Raw genomic sequence first — 18,149 nt, 5'->3', positions numbered from 1 at the left:
ATGCAAAATAATATCAATAATGACAAACACTGGGCCTGGTGCAGTGGCTCACACCTGTAATCCCCACACTTTAAGCCAAGGCAGGCAGATCGCTTGAGCCCAGGAATTCCAGACCAGCCTGGGCAACATGGCAGAACCATGTTGCTACAAAAATACAAAAATTAGCCCGGCATGGTGGCATGCACTGTAGTCCCAGCTACTTGGGAGGCTGAGGCAGGAGGATGGCTTGAACCCAGGAGGTGGAGGTTGCAGTGAGTCGAGATCGTGCCACTGCACTCCAGCCTGGGCGACAGAGCAAGACCCCCATCAAAAAAATAGAAAAAAAAAAAAAAAAACACTGATTAAGCGCCTCCCACGTGGTACCAGGCACCGTTGTAAGCCTGTAAGCCCAGTACGTGGCAGATAATAAGTGTTTTACAAATGATAACATTTTAAAGTTACTATTATTATTGCCATCATCATTATATAAAATGGAGTTCATGTCCCTTGTCTAAAAGTGCCCCTAAGGCCTAACTGTGAACACACGTGTGAAGCACCTGCTTGGTGCGTGCCCAGCACGCAGTAGGTGAGTGGCTCATGGCAGATGTTCCTTATGCTTGACCCAAACTCAGGGATACTTCTTAAGCTAAATAAACCCTCCAAAAATTCCCAACTGATAGGCTAATCCCTCTCCAGGCCCATGCCCTTGGCACGCCCGCTCTCACAGCTGCCCGTGGAAAGAATTCGGCTGACGGCTCATGCCTCTCCTCTCTTGGATCCCCCTGCTCCGCCAGTCCTTCCTGGTGAGCTCATGCCCCCATGAGACCTTCCGTCACCTGCTCTGCCAGCCTGGCCCCAGGTGGGGAGTGTGGAGAGATGCCTGTCTCGGACACAGCCCTGGCTCTCCTTTCTGTCCCTTCCCATTCCTGGTGGGTACTGTGGCCCCTGGGACCCACATCTCAGCCTTGCCAAAGTGCCATGTTTCACATCCCAGAGTATTTGTGTCCAAAAAGAGAAATTTGGGATTAATCAGAGTCTTAAGACTAGAAAGTGTTTCCAAAAATTGATGAATAAACTGAAGCTCTAAAAAGTGAGCGCCTATCCCAAAGAATGAAACTCTAACAGTGGAATCTCAGGTCTAGGACAAGTAAGCGGGAGGGAGGTTGGAAGGGAGGCTGGCAGGAAGGGCCACCCTATAGTGTGATAATATTGTTGGACGTGTATTTACTGGGAACCTACTATGTGCCAGGTTCATCACATCCATTACATCTCATTTTCACAAACTACGTCTTATTATATCTATTCTGCAGATTAGAGATAATGACAGCAGCCCCCACTAGTGGGTATCTACAAGGGGTCAGGTGCTGTGCAAAATTGTGGGTGCTCCCCACAATCGTACGTGGTGGTGACTGTCCGGGTCACGTGCAGGCCTTGCCCAGAGTCACATAGCCAATCAGGGCCAGAGGTGGAATCTGAACCCAGATCTGTGTAATCCAATGCCTCCTGCCTAAATGCGTTTCTCCCTAACACCCTAACTGGCCTTGGCATTCCCTGTTCTAAGTTTACAGTGATCAGGGCTGCTTAATTTTTAAAAGAAGGAAATTAACACCCTTGGAAATGGTAGAACTCCCTGTACAGACCCCAGAGAGAGCTCATATTCCAACAGTGTGATAATCCCTGCACCGGAAAAGCATGTTCAGTAAGAAACAGTCTAGACTAGAGTTTAGAGCTTGGCTTGGGGGTCTGAGCAGTTCAGGGTCAAATCTCATTTCTGCCATTTGCTAGGTATGTGACCTTGGGCACCTCTTTGTATCTCAGTCAACTCATCTGGAAAGCAGAGATCCTAAAAGTATCCATGTTAGATTCTTGCAATGTTTCATTGGCATACGGTGTGTTAGTGTGACTTCACCTCCTTCTACGCTCTCCCTCACTCACTCTGCTCCTGCCCAATGGCCTCTCTTGCTCCTCAGTGCAGCAGGCACGCTCTACCTCAGGGCCTTTGCACTCGCCGTCCCTCTGCCTGGAAAGCTATTCCTCCAGAGATCCACATGGCTCCTCCCTCATTTCCTTTGGGTGTCCGTCCAAATATCACCTCCTTTCTGTTACCCTCCTTGATCAGGCTTTTAAAAATAATGGCTGGGCACGGTGGCTCACACCCATAATCCCAGCACTTTGGGAGGCTGAGGCGGGCAGATCGCTTGAGCCAAGGTGTTCAAGACCAGCCTAGGTAACATGGTGAAACCCCGTCTCTACAAAAAATACAAAAGTTAGCCAAGCATGGTGGTGCATCCTGTAGTCCCAGCTACTCGGGAGGCTGAGGTGAGAGGATCACCTGAGCCCAGGAGGTTGAGGCTGCAGTGAGCTGGGATTACACCACTGCACTTCAGCCTGGGCAACAGGGCAAGACCCAGAAAAGAAAAAAAAAATTAACAACCCCCAGGACATCATCCTTACTCTGCTTTCTCTCCTAACATTCATCTCCCATCTGACAAATTATAGATTTATTTGCCCGATGTCTGCCTCCTCCCAGCATAAGGGAAGGGACCTTACTGTCTGCATAAGGGAAGGGACCTCAGCTGTTTTCTTCACTGCAGAATCCCTAGTGCCCAGAACAGTACCTAGCACATGCTCAACACTGAATGAATGAAGGAATATAAAGAGCTTGGAATAATCCTCAACTCATAGGAAGCGCTCAATCGATGTAAGCCAGTATTATAATTAGTATGTGTGAAGTGCTTTCCAAGATACCCTCACCCCACGGGAGGCAGTCTAGAGGGATAATGTAAGCCAAATCTGGGTCAAACCCTGCTGTGTGACCTTGACTAAGTCACACTGCCTCTCTGAGTTGGTTTGCCCATCTATAAAATGAGAGTAACCAAATCTGGCCTTTAAGGGACTCGTGAGGGTTCAATGACCATGCAAGCTCCCTTTTCTTGGATACTTTCTGGATGTCAGAAACTGTCCTAGGTCCTCACCTTGCACAATCTCACTTAGCCCTCACCCCTGACCGATGGGGAAGTCCTCTCATTATCTGTATCTTCAGATGAGGCACTTAGTGATCCGAGAGGTGATGAGATTTGCCCAAGTTTACACCACCGGAAGTGGCAGGAGTCCGGCTCCTAACTGGCTGGTCTCTTTGGACCCTGGGATTGGGACCCTGCTGGCCCCCGCCCTGGCCAGGGAGCAGCATCTCTCTCCCAGGGTGCTATCTCAGGCAGCAGAGATGCCCTGGGCTCTACAGCCACACCTGCCCATGCCCGAGTCCTGTCGCTCACCCTTTGGCCCCACCACCGTCCCCGTAGCAGCGCCGGCTCCTGGTGTCCTGGGCAGGCCATTCACTCCTCACACAGACCGTGTGGCCCTGACTCAGATACCTTGTCCACTGGGCATGGGGTGCCCTCGCCTGCCCGCAGCTCCCTGGAATGGACCCCAACTGGAACTGGACACAGTACCTGCAGCCACACAGGGAGATACCACCTCAAGTACCCATGAGCATTTATGAAGCACCTACTGTACATCCAGCCCTATCTTAGGCCCAGGTTGGTACAATTTCTCCCTGATACAGGAATCTTTTGTGCAACCCAATTGGCCTCAACAGGTTGCATACAACAAGATTCAACTTCTGCTTTTCAAGTTAACATTATTCAGGGTTTACCATGTACCAGGCAGACCCTATTCTAAGCACTTTATCCAAAAGACTGAGTGTTTTATTTCTCATCTGTTTTCCCCATTAGAAGGCTGGCTCCATAATGCCAGGAATGTTCATTTGTTTTGTTTACTGTTGGGTCCAACTCCTAGAATTATATCCAGCTCAGTTTTTAAAATGTTAAATAAGTCATTGGGGCCGATGGAATATGGAACCCCTGCAAGGTAGGTGTTTCCCCTAGTTTACAGATTAGGAAACGGAGGATCAGAGAGAAAACTCGCCCAAGGCCACATACCTAATAAGCAGTGGGATGTAAAATGGAACCATCTCTGCTGAAAATAAGCCTAAATAGATACTCTTAAGCTCTCCACTGTGTTTTTTCTTTTCTTTGTTTGTTTGTTTGTTTGTTTGAGACGGAGTTTTGCTGGTGTTGCCCGGGCTGGAGTGCAATGGCACAATCTCGGTTCACCGCAACAAACTCCACCTCCCTGACTCAAGTGATTCTCCTGCCTCAGCTTCCCGAGTAGCTGGATTTACAGGCATGTGCCACCACGCCTGGCTAATTTTGTATTTTTAGTAGAGACGGGGTTTCTCCATGTTAGTCAGGCTGGTCTTGAACTCCTGACCTCAGGTGATCCACCCACCTCAGCCTCCCAAAGTGCTGGAATTACAGGCGTGAGCCACCGCGCCCGGCACGTTCTTTCAAAAGATCCTATTTTATTAAAAAGATTTGCCACAAAAAAAAAAAAAAAGAAAGAAAGAAAAAGAAGAGAAAAGAAAAAGATTTGCCTCAAAAAAAAAGAGGGAAAAAAAAAAAAAAAAGGCCAGGCGCGGTGGCTCACTGCAGTGGCCAACTTGATGAAACCCTGTCTCTACTAAAAATACAAAAATTAGCCAGGCGTGGTGGCTCGCGCCTGTAGTCCCAGCTACTTGGTAGGCTGAGACAGGAGAACGGCTTGAACCCCGGAGGCAGAGGTTGCAGTGAGCTGAGATGGCGCCACTGCACTCCAGCCTGGTCAACAGAGTGAGACTCGGTCTCAAAAAACAGAAGAAAAAAAGATTTGCAATGAGAATTCTTTAAAAGGAAAGCCCCCCCATTCAAGGGTATCTGAAATAAGACCCAGAATTTGCCAAATTTTACTTCCACCCAACTTTTTCTACAAGGAGCAGTAAATAGCACCCCCTGCTGGAGGAGACGCGGCGTGTCAAGGACTCGTGAATGACTCTGTGTGAATCTGCTGCCCCCTGGTGGCCAGAGGAGCCCACGGTTTTCTTCCAGGTGCAGCCGAAAGCCCATCCCCAGTCCTTCCCTCTCTGATCTGCCCCCATATCCCCTCGGGAATCTGTCCCCTACCAGAAGTCTGTGATAACTAGAAATTGCGTCTTCCCCATACAATTTCTCTTCCCCTTTTGGCAGTTTGTTTGGAAACTTCTTGCCCTCGCCCTATGGTCTTGGAGGGGCCATCACTCAGCCGGCCTGGCCGTGGCTCCCACAGCTGCCACTAAGGCGGGTATGTGATTGGAGTTGACCGACCAGAGTTCCCCATCTTCCTGGCCACGACGACTGGTTCAGGGATGGGCCCAGGATCCAAGCAGACCCAATCGGGGTCTCCTCCAGATATGATCCGCTGAGACTTCCAAGAGGACACTTTTGGGGTTACTGATCTGGGAGGATGTGGGGCTGCTTATCCCCACAATCTCTGCAAGATGCCCATCTTGACCACCACAGGGAAAGAGCCTGCTTGAGAATAAAGTCAACCCATGGAGCGAGTGACAGAAAGAGAGGGGACGAGAGCCAGCCCTGACGGCCTTACACACACCGTTGGCGCCAGCCCTGCTTGAAGTAATGTTATTTCAGAACTTCCCTCCCGGTTATCTAAACCAATACTTCACCTTTTCACTTGACGCAGTCTGAGCTAAGTTTCTGTCACTTGCAATCAAAAGAATCCTAACCCTTTTAGTTCTCCTGTCCATCTCCATTGCCACTGACTTAGTTCAGACCTTATTCTTTCAACTGATATTTACTGAGTACCTATCATGAGCCAGGCACTGTCCTGGAAATTTGACCTCAGCTCCGCGATCCCACAACACGCTGATCTGTCGCCAGTCCCCACAATCCATCCTTCACAAGGTACGACGAAACCACCCTGGTCCAAACCACCTTCTTCCCTCGCCTGGACCACTGCAATTGCCTCCTCATTGGTCTCCCGAGTTACCCCCTTGCTTCTCCTCTATCCATTGTCCAAGTAGGATCCCAAGGAATCCTGTGAAGACTTAAGTCAGATCATGTCACTCCTCTGCTAAAAACCCTACCATGACTCCCACCTCATGAGAGAAAGTGCGCAACTCCTCAACACAGCCTACAGGCCCCACAGGATCTACCTCCTACCTTGTTATCTTTTCAACCTCATTTCCTACTCTCTCCCTGCACTCAAACTATACCCGCCTTCTTGCTGATCCTTGAACACACTAGGCATGCCCTGCCCCAGAACTTTTGCACTTGCTGTTTCCCTCTTCCAGGCACACTCTTCCCCCAGATCTCCTCCTCCAGATCTTAGTTCAAATGTCACCTTCTCAGGGCACCCCTACCCCCTTCCCTGCTTTATCTTCTCCATGGCACTTAGGCTCCAACATGTTATTTGTTTTTTGTCTCTCTCCTCCCACTAGACTGTCCACTCAATGAGGACCAAGTATTTCTGTCTTTTTTGTTCCTTGCCATAACCCAAGGACTAGCACAGTACCTGTCACATAGTAGGCACTCAATCAAAGTTGAATGAATGGGTGAATGAATGAAGTTGAATGGAGACCAATCATTGGGGACTTTAAAATCCATGTTAATGAGCTTGCAGGTGTAACAAGGTGACAAACGGGGAGATATGGATGTTGCCAAAGTAAGAGAAAGACGTGATAAATGAAATTTTGGGCCGGGCACGGTGGCTCACGCCTGTAATCCCAGCAATTTGGGAGGCTGAGGCAGGCAGATCACCTGAGGTCAGGAGTTCGAGATCAGTCTGGCCAACATGATGAAACCCCGTCTCTACTAAAAATACAAAAATTAGCCTGGCGTGGTGGTGTGTGCCTGTAATCCCAGCTACTCAGGAGGCTGAGGCACAAGAATGGCTTGAACCCGGGTGGCGGATGTTGCAGTGAGCTGAGATCACACCACTGAGCTCCAGCCTGGGCAACAGAGCAAGACTCCATCTCCAGAAAAAAAAAAAGAAAAAGAAAAAAAAGAAACTTAGTTCAAGGAAACATGTTCACAAATTTTAGTTTGACTTTAGGTTGATTGATTTTCACTTACCCTGCTGTTGCCTGTTTCTTGGGACTATCTCACTTTTCCCACTCTTTCCCGTAGCTGCCTGTGGTTATCAAAGCAGGGACTGTGGGTCAAGGAGAAAACAGAGTTAGGGCGGACCACATCCCAGGCTATGGCACCATAGGGACACCGAGCTTGGTACCTCTGGTATCCAAGTCACTTACAAGACAGCCCTAAAGAGACTGTAGGATCTTTGAACTGGGTAGATAATCCCTACCAGTGCCCTTTATAGTGCTGGAAGCAGGATCATAGTTATCTCTGAGACTTCAGGGCCTGGTGTGGTCTCAAAAATTCTTTTTGAATGAATGATTTGCTGAATGAATAAGTGAATGATTTTTTTAATAGAGTAGATAAAAGAGTTAGTCAGCCAGGAGCAATGTCTCATGCCTGTAATCCCACCATTTTGGGAGGCCGAGGGAGGAGGATTGCTAGAGCCCAAAAATTTGAGACCAGCCTAGGCAACATGGTGAAACCTCATCCTGCAAAAATTAGCCAGATGTGATGGCGTGCACCTGTAGTCTCAGCTACCTGGGAAGCTAAAAGGGGAGGATCACCTGAGCTCAGAAGATCAAGGCTGCAGGGAGCCATGATTGCATCACTGTCCTCCAGCCTTGGGCAATACAGCAAGACCTAGACTCAAAAAAACAAAACAAAAAAAAAACAGAAAAACAAACAAACAAAAAAAAAAAACAAAGAAAAAAGAGTCAATAACTATCAGCACCATAGGAAAGGCAAAAAATTAATTAAATAATTTTAAAAGAAGAAAATAAAATGTTTAAAGTCAATGACTAAATGAATAAATGGATAGATAGCTGAAATGATGGAAGAAAGGAAGAATGGATGTATAATAGGTAGATAAATGGGAAGATGAGAGGCTGGAAGAAAAGGAGAGACAGAGAGATGAGTAGAAAGATGGATGGGTGGAAGAGAGGATGAATGGAAAGGATGGATGGAGAGTTGACAAGTGGATGGATAGGTGAATGAATAAAAAATGGATGGGTAGATAGATGGATGGATAGCTGGATGGATGGATGGATGGATGGATGGATGGATGGATGGGAAGATAGAAGAATGGAAGAAGGTAGAATGGAAGAAGATAGAAGAATGCAGAGAGATGAGTGGAAATGGCTAGATGAACGAGTAGATGGATGGATGGATGGATGGATGGATGGATGGGAGAATAGATGAATGAGTGAATGTAACAATGGAAGGATGGAAGAAAGGAGGTATAGGGGGATGGATTGATAGAAAGACAAATGAATGAATAAAATTATTTTACTTGGCCAGCTTCCAAGTTTCTTCCTTTCTAGATCAAACAGAGGAGAACATAGAAGAGAATTGATAATCATTTCACAAGAGGTTCGTGATTCCTTAGGAATCCCTAACACACAGCCTCCCTTCCCTCTTCCAACAGCTGTAGTTGTACTTTTGGTGTCACCTAGAGCAGTAAGGAGAGCCCCAGCTAAGCCCAGGTTAGTCCCAACTCCCCTTGTTATAGCTGAGTGACCTTGATCAAGTTACTGCACCTGTCTGAGCCTCATTCTTCTTAACTGCAAAATGGGGATAATATCAGTATCTACATCCTGGTGTTATTGTCAGAATGTAATGTAACATTGGTCGAGGGTCTGGCACAAGGCAGGTACTCAGTGAGTGTTTCTTCCCTTTGTAATTTGCTTGACATTGTTAGCTACTGTGATGCAGCTGTTGCTCTCATGCTATGGTGAAGGGACAAGCCCTCAAATACAGAGGTGAGATGTTTTGAAAGAAGATTCAAGGGATCAGTCATAAAGATCAGAGCCTCATGGCTGTAACGGTGAGCAAAGAAAATAATTCAGCTGCTGTTTATTGAGCACTTATGTAGTAGGTGCTCATCATATATCACCTTACTACATTCTGACAGCACTTGGGGAGGCCGAGGCAGGTGGACCACCTGAGGTCAGGAGCTCGGGATCAGCCTGGCCAACATGGTGAAACCTCGTCTCAACAAAAAATACAAAAAATTAGCCAGGCATGGTGGCGGGTGCCTGTAATCCCAGCTACTCGGGAGGCTGAGGCAGGAGAATGGCTTGGACCCGGGAGGAGGAGGCTGCAGTGAGCTGAGATTGCACCATTGCACTCCAGCCTGGGCAACAAGAGCAAAACCTTGTCTTAAAAAAAAAAAACAAAAAACAAACAACAACAACAACAACAAAAAACAGTACAACGAAAAGATTGTAGGTGGGTGATATCAAAGGTCAGAATGGGAGGGTCCTGGTCCTCTAGTCAATAGCCATGTGACTTGGACAAGCTTTGTCACCTCCTTGAGCCTCGGTTTCCCTGTCTGTAAGAAGAGAATAGTAACACTGACCTCACAGAGTCAGGTCATGTGGTGAGGCACTTGGCACATATTAGCAAGTCAGGATGATCTTCCCGATCTTCCTCAGGGAAACTGACATCTTTACAGGAAGTGATGACCCAGGAATGGCTGGATGGGAGTGGCTGGGGGTAGGGAGAAGGATTTCAAGCAGAGGAAGCAACACTCCCACTTTTCATCACCCCACTGCCACCTCCCTGGTTCAACCACCATAGTCTCTTGCCTGAACCATTGCAGCCACCTCTTCCCTAGGCTCCCTGATTCCCTCTGACCCCTCTCAGTCTGCTGTCCACATAACAGTCAGAACGACCTTTTGATTGATTGACTGATTGATTGATCTCTAGAGACAGGGTCTTGTAGTGCAATCAGTTCACTACAACCTCAAACTTCTGGGCTCAAGTGATCCTCCTGCGTCAGCTTCCCGAGCAGCTGGGACTTCGGGTGTGCGCACCACCACAAATATCCTAGGATATTTGCTGGAACTATGGGGAAAGAGGCCTTCTCTTCAGCTGTTAGGCTGGTTAGAGGGAAGCCTGAAGCTGTCAAAGACCATTACAGGGAAAAGCCTGCCTGAGAATGAGGCCAACTGAGAGGAAAACAGAGCTGAGACATGGAGAGAGATTCCTGGCAACATTGCTTGAGCTCCTGGATCCAGCCATGCCTGAATGCAGCCCCTGGAATTTTAGTTACAGGAGCCACACAGTTTTGCTCAGTTCAGGTTAAGTTGGGTCTCCTATCACCTGCATACAAAGTCCTGACTGATTCACACAGGGAGAGGAGCAGAAAGAAGACTGAGAAGCCCAGTGGAGTTCAGAGCTTCTGAACTCATTCACAAGATGAGAAGGGGGATCAGGGCAAAGGAAGGCAAAGCCCCATTCCAAACTCAGACCCTACCCAAGAACTCATGGAGGGCCCTGCAGTCCAGCCTGACTGTTCCCACTGAGAGCCACCCCTGGGGCCCATCCCCACTCATGCAATGACTGCTGGCACTCCACTCCCTGGTGGCTCCAGTACTCCACACAGCCAGCCCGCTCTTCCAGCAGCGGGAAGGGGACACCCCCATTCCTCGGCTCCTGCAGGACACGCCTCCGGTGTACATGGTAGGAGACCTGGCAGGTTTCACACAGCGACTGCAGCCACTCCACTGTGCCACAGTGCAGGAGACTGCTGGAAGAGAAGGTGGTGTCTGCAAGGGAGACCTCTGTGGGGTTTAGCTAGCCAGCATCCAGGTCTTCTCCACCTTCCCCACAATCTGAACCCCCAAAACACCACACCAAGTGCTAGAACTCTTGCAAACCTCAGTCTATGCCTTCCTTGAAAGTTTCCCTATGACAACTCTTCATATGTTCACCTAAACTTAGAATTCCACCTTTATCCAATCATCTTATTGATGATCACTTAGGTCGTCTCCATCACTCATTCCTTCAATAAACATTTCCTAAGCACTTAGGGCAACTGATGCTTCAATTTCTTCTTTTGTCAAATGGGAATAAGAATAGTATCTAACTGATAGGGTGGCCTTAAGGGTTCAACCAAATATGAAATATAAAGCATTTGCTCCCAGCACATAGCAGGTGTTTAATAAGCACTAACTATTCCTCTACATCAGTGAAAATGAGCCACAGCTACACTGTCAGTAACCTGAAGGGGAAATAAATTACTTGCAAAAGGATTCACATGTCTAATGTGATGCTTTTTATATACAGTCTTGTTTGTTTGTTTGTTTGTTTGTTTGAGACGGTGTCTAGCTCTGTTGCCCAGGCTGAAGTGCAGTGGTGTGATCTCGGCTCACTGCTACCTCTGCCTCCCAGGTTCAAGCGATTCTCCTGCCTCAGCCTCCTGAGAAGCTGGGATTACAGGCACCCACCACCATGCCTGGCTAATTTTTTGTATTTTTAGCAGAGAAAGCGTTTCTCCATGCTAGCCAGACTGATCTCAAACTCCTCACCTCAAGTGATCTGCCCACCTCGGCCTCCCAAAGTGCTGGGATTACAGGCGTGAGCCACTGCGCCTGGCCTATATAGTTTTTTAAAACTGCAAAACGGTACTATAAAGTATTTAGGCATTCATACAGGCATAGTAAATACATATATATGCAGCCAGTCCTCATGATTTACAGATTCTGTATTTGCTACTTTGCTTATTTGCTGAAATTATTTTTAACCCTAAAATCAATACTTGCAGCACATTTATAGTTACTCACAGACAAGCGAAGATTAGTGAAAAATTTGAGTAACTCAATGTGCAGGTTCCAAGCTGAAGTTAAACAGGGCCCCACTCTGTCTTCTTGTTCCAGCTTCATACAGATGTTACCAGAGGACAGAGACAGTAGGGACAGGTCTATGTAGTGCAAGAAGCTCCAGCCCTGGGCCAGTTGGATGGGGTTTGAATCCCAACTCCAGCAACTGTTAGGGAGGCAGCCTCGGGCGAGTCTCTTAACACTTCCTAACACTCTTTGGTAAAATGAAGAAAATGGAATTGACCAGGATGAGTTGTTTTTAGGATCTAAAGTATAAACTAAGTGAGATATGTGTGTACATATTTCCCCTAGGGGCCATTGGTTAATTCAGTATTGGTTAATTCAGTCTTTGTGGCAACTTTACAGAACATAACTACTGTGAATCACAAGAAAGTCCTGTAGCCAGGCGCTATTACTCACACCTGTAATCCCAGCACTTTGGGAGGCCAAGGCAGGAGGATCGCTTGAGCCCAGGAGTTTCAGACCAGCCTGGGCAACATGGTGAAATCCCATCTCTACCAAAAAAGAAAAATACAAAGACTAGCCAGGTATGGTGGTGCACGCCTGTAGTCCCAGCTACTAGGGAAAGTGAGGCAGAAGGATCACTTGAGCCTGGGAGGTAGAGGTTGCAGTGAGCCAAGACTGTGCCACTGCATTCCAGCCTGGGCGACGGATCGAGATTCTGTTTCAAAAAAAAAAAAAAGAATGTACAGTGTATGTTTATGTACATAAACACACACATACCCCCATATATGCATGGGAATTTTAAATGTCAAATTCAGCATTGTGACAATCTCTGGGGAGAGTGGGACAGCAGGTGACTACAGGAGGGAAACAGACACTGCAGTGGCAATTGTCAAGGTTTGTTTCTTAGCTTTTCCCGAGGGTTTGTTGTATTATCTCTCTACATTGGTGGTGTATGTCGGAAATATTTCATCATCACAAAAGGAACGTGCTGGGTTCCCCCATCCTTGAGGTGCTTCACATGTCTACCACAGGTGGTATTTCTAATGATGTCCCCGCTGGGACCGACACTTCTTCATTCCAAGTCCACACTCCCAGATCAGGACCAGAGCAAATCAGACAGGGAAAGGCAGTCTAGCAGAAACGGAATCTGGGCACTTCCCCAGCGAGAGACTTTCTACGGATGTGCCAGCAAGTTTTGTCAGCGGCACACACACACATTTGCTGCACATGCAAGGCGGCCACCACTGTCAGAATTAATTCACTCATACCCCAAATATTTACCAAGCATCTGCAGCGAGCCCAGAACTGTCTTGGGTGCTGGAGACACAGCGTTTAACAAGAAAGATGAGGTCTGTCTTCAGGAAAAGCCCTCCCAGCTATGAGACATGTCCTAATTCAGCAACGTGAAAATGTGAAGAGGGAAAAAATCATGTGCATCCTTGATGAAGGAATGGCGTTATTGTGCCAAAGACAAGCAGCAGTGCCTCTGGAAGGTCAGGAAGTCACATATTCTTTGCATAAATCTCAGAGGTTTAAAATTTTTTTCTTGGAGCAAACAATCCTTCAATCTGCCCATCTTAGCAGAGTTGAAAAGCTCAGAGGGAAGGAAGGAAAAAGAAAGAAAGGAAGGTAAACAAGAGAAGAAAGGAAACAGAAAGAGGGAGGGCAAGAAGGAGGAGGGAGGGGAGACACCCAGTGTGGCAACCTAAGACTGATCAAGTGCTTTCATCATCCATCTAATAACCCCGTTCATTGTGCTTTGGATGCTAAACCAAGCAAGTCCCATACATGACTTCATTTAATCCTCACAACAGTCTCCTGAAACTCTGTACTCCCTCTCCATACTCAACCCCCAGCAAGCCTGTGCATCTCCCAGCCTCTCCCTGGCTGCCAGTAGAGTTGAACCAGTGGGGAACACCAGCGGGGATGAGAGGAGCAGAGGGCAGGAGGAGAGTGCACCCAAGGTGTTTATTGTCCCCCATTTTGGGGAAGGGGGCCCTTGGCTGCAGATCCTACTCTCACAGGCTCCAATAACACCATTTCCTCCTGTCCTGTACTGCTGCCCCCACCTCTGTGAATAGAGCCCTTGTTTTCTATTATACCCTTCTGGGGGTACCATCTGTCACTTGCCAGGTCCCCAACTCCTAATGTGTTTGCACTATTGTCAAACCCAGCTCAGAGATGAGGCCACTGGGGCTTAAGAGGCAGAATCCCTAAGTTGAGCCAAGGATGTAGAGTCAGACAAACCTGGATTTGAACCACAGTCTCGGGTTTGTTGCAATGGCGAATGCAAAGCACTGGCCATACTGTAAATGCCCAGTTCAATGGTCTTTATGCATTCGTTCAACAACAATTTAGGACCTACTGTGTGCAGAGCACTGGGCTGGGTGCTGGGAACACAGATGACCAAAACAGGTACAGCCCTGCCCTCAAGGAGCTGACATTCAGTGGGGGAAACAGACAATAAACAATAACATGCAACCATGTAATTTCAACTAGTGATCTGTGCTTTGAGAAAAAACAGCAGGTCAAGAGTGGCCAGGGTTGAGAGAGAGGCAGGGAAAAAAAGAAAGAGTGCCAAGGGTGGTGTAACAAGAAACTATTTTAGGCAGGAGTCAAGGAAGTCCTCCAAGACAAGGACATCTGAACAGAGCCCCCAAGAAAGTGATGAAGGGAACTGTGTAGGAAGGGAACTGTATTCCAGGCACAAAACAGGCAGTGCAAAGTCGCTGAGGCAGGGTAAAGGTAGGATATCAGAGGGACAGTGAGGAGGCCAGTGTCGCTGCAGGAAAATAAGCCAGAGGAAAAGTGGTAGGAGGTGACATCAGAGAGGGAGGGGACAAAGATAGCATATAGGGCCTTGAGGACTGTTGTAAGGAGTTCAGATTTTATTCTAGGCATGACGAAAAGCCATTGCCGAGTTCTGAGCAGAGATGTGACGTGGTGATACCAAAGGTTTCAAAAGGATGACTGCCCATCTCTCTGGGTGGGGGTGAGGGCAGAAGCATGATGGCTCCTGCGGTTTCCCAGGAGAGAAAGGATTATCTACAGTAGAAGAAGCTGCTAGAAGAATGAGTTTTGTGTCACTGAAAGTGTTCACAATGTGGCTAAAAAACCTGGCAGGAAGACTGCAGACCAGATTCAGGCACTGGCTGGACAGCTGGACCAAGGGGTATCCCCAAAGTCCACCACGATCTCCTGCCCTGCCTGCCAGGCAGGTGAGAGATTTTGCGGAAAATTAGGCAGGCACCACCCTGCACGTGTTCTACCCGTCTCACTGGCAGCACGCACACAAGAGGGAACCATCATCACCCCTCGCATAGGCCCAGGATCACAAACTCAGTACATCTGTGGTTATTCTCGTAGTGTCTGCCTCCTCCATTAGAGTGTCAGCTCCACAACAATAGGGTCCTCATTTGTCATGTTCCCTGCTGTATCCCATCACCAAGCACAGGGCCTGGCACACAGCAACTCAGGAAGTGATGTGCCACTGAACAATGAGTGAGCAAATCTTGCCTTAGCAACAACAAAGGAAATATAACCACAGGCTGACATTGCAAAAAGGCAACACCAGATAGCAGTGTTTCTCAAAGCAAAGCCCAGCCCACTTTTCCTGACCAAAGAAGAAATTCTAGCTTCCCAGCCTTACAGAAAGGGGTAGGGCGGTGGTAAGGCTGCTCACTGAGTCCTGGATACCCAGATGACATCGTGCCAGCTGAGCCTGCCATGGCCAGACCACATTTCCCACAGACCCCTTAGAATCGCTTCACCCCACCCTTACAGGCCCAGGCTCATGAAGGAACACCTTTTTTTTTTTTTTTTTTTTTTTTTAAGATGGAGTCTCTCTCTGTCGCCCAGGCTGGAGTGCAGTGGCACCATCTCGGCTCCCTGCAACCTCCGCCTCCCAGGTTCAAACGATCCTCCTGCCTCAGCCTCCGGAGTAGCTGGGACTATAGGCACGTGCCACCACACCCAGCTAATTTTTGTATTTTTAGTAGAGACAGGGTTTCACTATGTTGGCCAGGCTGGTCTCAAACTCCTGACCTTGTGATCCACCCACCTCAGCCTCTCAAAATGCTGGCATGAGCCACGGGGCCCAGCCAAGGAATGTCTTTCTGCATTATCCAAACCCCGCTTTCTCCTCTGAACCACACTGCCCAGCCTCCTTACCATCTGCCCTCCTTATTGTCTACCAAAAGGATTTTCTAGAATACAGTTCTGGCCTGTTCCCTGAAATCCCTCAGTGGTTCCCATCTCCTATTGAGGGGGTTCACGAAGGATCTTTTTTGACAGTGGATCATAGATGGAGACCCCCAAGCTCAGTGGCTAAAAATCTACATTTTCCTGCAACTCATCCACAGTCATTTACCGTGCCCTCCTCCTATTCAACATCTCAGCACACTTTACCCAAAGTTTCCCAAAGCACGTGGTCTCCCACAGCTGAGTAGTACCCTCCCAGCCTCCTTTCCCCCATCTTCTGGGAATACCACCTCAGTTTTCTTCTGAGAAACCAAAACTCCCCACTCTCAATCCACATGGTTTGGACAGGGCTGATCGCACCCTCTCGTTCCTGGTATGAGGCAGGTGACCCCCACATGGCCAGTTGATATATTCCTTCTCCCTGGGTTCAGTGATTGATTGGGTCAGCAATGACCATTTAATCCAAACTGAGCCCATGAGAACCAGCCCTGGGATTTTGGCTGGAACTGGGGAAAAATGCTCTCAATCCATTAAGGATGGCAGTTTACAGCTACTGTCTTTGACCACTAGCTTTGCTACCACTTGGTGACAGCATGCCTGTAAATGAAGTTAACACAAGAAAAGCCGAAGAATGGAAAGAGATAGAGTCCTGATGACATCCTTGGAGCCCCTGGATCCAGTCATGCCTGAAGCTCTGGAATCCCTGGGTTGTTCTTTAGTTACCTAAGCCAATAAATATCCTTGTTAACTTAAGTTAAATTGTGTCACAACCCTAAGAGTACTAAGTCTACAGGAAACACATAAGTGTATATGTAGGGACATCAACCATACAGGGTTGAGATGATATTTAAGAAGTATAGAATACATGGAAACATTCTGTAAATAACTTGGAAAATACAGTGGTGTCTATCTTTCAAGGCCTTACTAATCACTCCAGCCCCACTCTCTCCCTGCCTCCACACCATCCTCACCAATCATTTCCAAGCTTCACCTTGCTCAGACTGAAATTATTTATTCCTTTCCCAACTACCTTGTCTCCCAAAAATAGACAATAAGCTTGAGGGGTACCAGAACTCCAGCCTTGCTTCCATCCCCCAGTGCTTCTAGCTGAATTGGGCACACAGAAGGTGGCCACCAATTGTAATTGAGGCTGGGTGTGGAGGCTCACACTGGTAATTCCAGCACTTTGGGAGGCCAAGGCTGGAGGATAGCTTGAGCCCAGGAGTTTGAGACCAGCCTGGAAAAGATGGTAAAACTCCATCTCTACAAAAAATACAAAAAAAAAAAAAAAAAAAAAAAAAAAAAGCTGGGTGTGGTGGCCCACACCTGTAGTCCCAGCTACTCAGGAGACTGAGGTAGGAGGATCACTTGAGCCTGGGAGGCAGAGGTTGCAGTGAGCCATGATTGCACCACTGCACTCCAGCCTGGGTGACACAGTGAAACCCTGAAAAATAAAAAGAAAGGAAGGAAGAAAGAGAGAGAGAAAAAGAAAAGAAAAGAGAGAAGGAAGGAAAGAAAGAAAAAGAAAAAAAAAGAAAATTTTAATTGAACTAAATGGGGAAGATGTCAAGGGGTCTCCTTACACCTGTAGACTCAAGCTTCCCTCTCCTAACATTCTTGAGTCTCTGCCACCCTTGAGCTGCTATACAATATTGAGATCTGGAGTCAGACTGCTGGAGTGCAAATCCCAGATCTGCTGTTTAAGAGCTGTGCAACCCAGAACACGTCACTTAACCTCTCTGTGCCTTAGTTCCTCATCTGTAAAACAGACATGATAACACTGTTCCATAGCGTTATTATGAGGCTTAAATGAGACAATTTACTTCAAGCACTTAAAATAGTACCTTCCTGACATTTGGTATTTCATAAATATTAGATTTGTTGTTTGCGGATTTTGTTTGTTTTTTAAGTCATCTTCAACATCTCCCTCTATTACAATTGATCACTTAAGGCAGTTGACTTTATCTCCTAAAAATAGCCCATGAAAAAAGCAAATACTTCTCTACATCTTTTGCCTCCTAACTAGTCCCCTCCTGCCTGCTCCCCTGGGAGGTGGAAAGTGAACTTTTCCCTGCGTCTCTTCACAAGACCCTGCTCCAGATAAGGAGGCAGATCCCAAAAGAGCAAAACAAAGGTGAAAGCAAAGCTTTGAGGCTCCTGGTTCCTCCAGCCCCCACTCCGTATAGAAAGGACATCTCTTGGGAGGGGCTAACATTGTGTGATTCTGTGGGTGTCGGTCAGACCATGAGAAAGTATCACTGATGCCTTTGCCTGGACCCATCCTGGGCCCCCACTCCTGCGCTGTGGCAGGGGAGCCCCTGTTGGTGGTGCTAACCTGGGACTTCAGCTCCAATCAGTACAGACCCGCGGCTGCATGAACTCTCTACACAGAAAACCAACCAGTACAAAAGCACCCCCAGGCAGTCCTTCCCCAAATTTAATCTGGAAG

The 18,149-nt window shown here is 47.6% G+C and overlaps 1 long non-coding RNA gene across 2 annotated transcripts in view, besides 3 other annotated features; it reads right to left on the bottom strand.

Moving 5' to 3' along the window:
• The window catches only part of LOC105372649 (uncharacterized), a 108,687-nt gene extending 100,070 nt beyond the window's left edge, over positions 1 to 8,617 (bottom strand). For both annotated transcript variants that reach the window (XR_001754659.2, XR_936820.3), the window contains exons 1-2: positions 7,496 to 8,617; positions 6,927 to 7,005 (exon numbers count right to left, since the gene is read on the bottom strand). This is a non-coding gene — a long non-coding RNA (uncharacterized LOC105372649). The remainder of the gene's footprint in view (positions 1 to 6,926; positions 7,006 to 7,495) is intronic.
• Positions 4,714 to 4,773: an enhancer, noted in NCBI's record as "active region_18061". NCBI's record gives its function as "activates an Ori minimal core promoter by ATAC-STARR-seq in GM12878 lymphoblastoid cells {active_cell/tissue: GM12878}" and the evidence as "EXISTENCE:reporter gene assay evidence [ECO:0000049][PMID:35858748]".
• Positions 14,222 to 14,721: an enhancer, noted in NCBI's record as "H3K27ac hESC enhancer chr20:47940767-47941266 (GRCh37/hg19 assembly coordinates)". NCBI's record gives its function as "activates a minimal SCP1, AML or CMV promoter by ChIP-STARR-seq in primed H9 embryonic stem cells {active_cell/tissue: H9 hESC(primed)}" and the evidence as "EXISTENCE:reporter gene assay evidence [ECO:0000049][PMID:30033119]".
• Positions 14,722 to 15,223: an enhancer, noted in NCBI's record as "H3K27ac hESC enhancer chr20:47940265-47940766 (GRCh37/hg19 assembly coordinates)". NCBI's record gives its function as "activates a minimal SCP1, AML or CMV promoter by ChIP-STARR-seq in primed H9 embryonic stem cells {active_cell/tissue: H9 hESC(primed)}" and the evidence as "EXISTENCE:reporter gene assay evidence [ECO:0000049][PMID:30033119]".

The sequence above is a fragment of the Homo sapiens genome, chromosome 20 (genome assembly GCF_000001405.40).
Source record: "Homo sapiens chromosome 20, GRCh38.p14 Primary Assembly".
In the NCBI taxonomy this organism is placed as follows: domain Eukaryota; kingdom Metazoa; phylum Chordata; class Mammalia; order Primates; family Hominidae; genus Homo; species Homo sapiens.
This window is presented reverse-complemented; position numbering and strand designations above follow the sequence as displayed.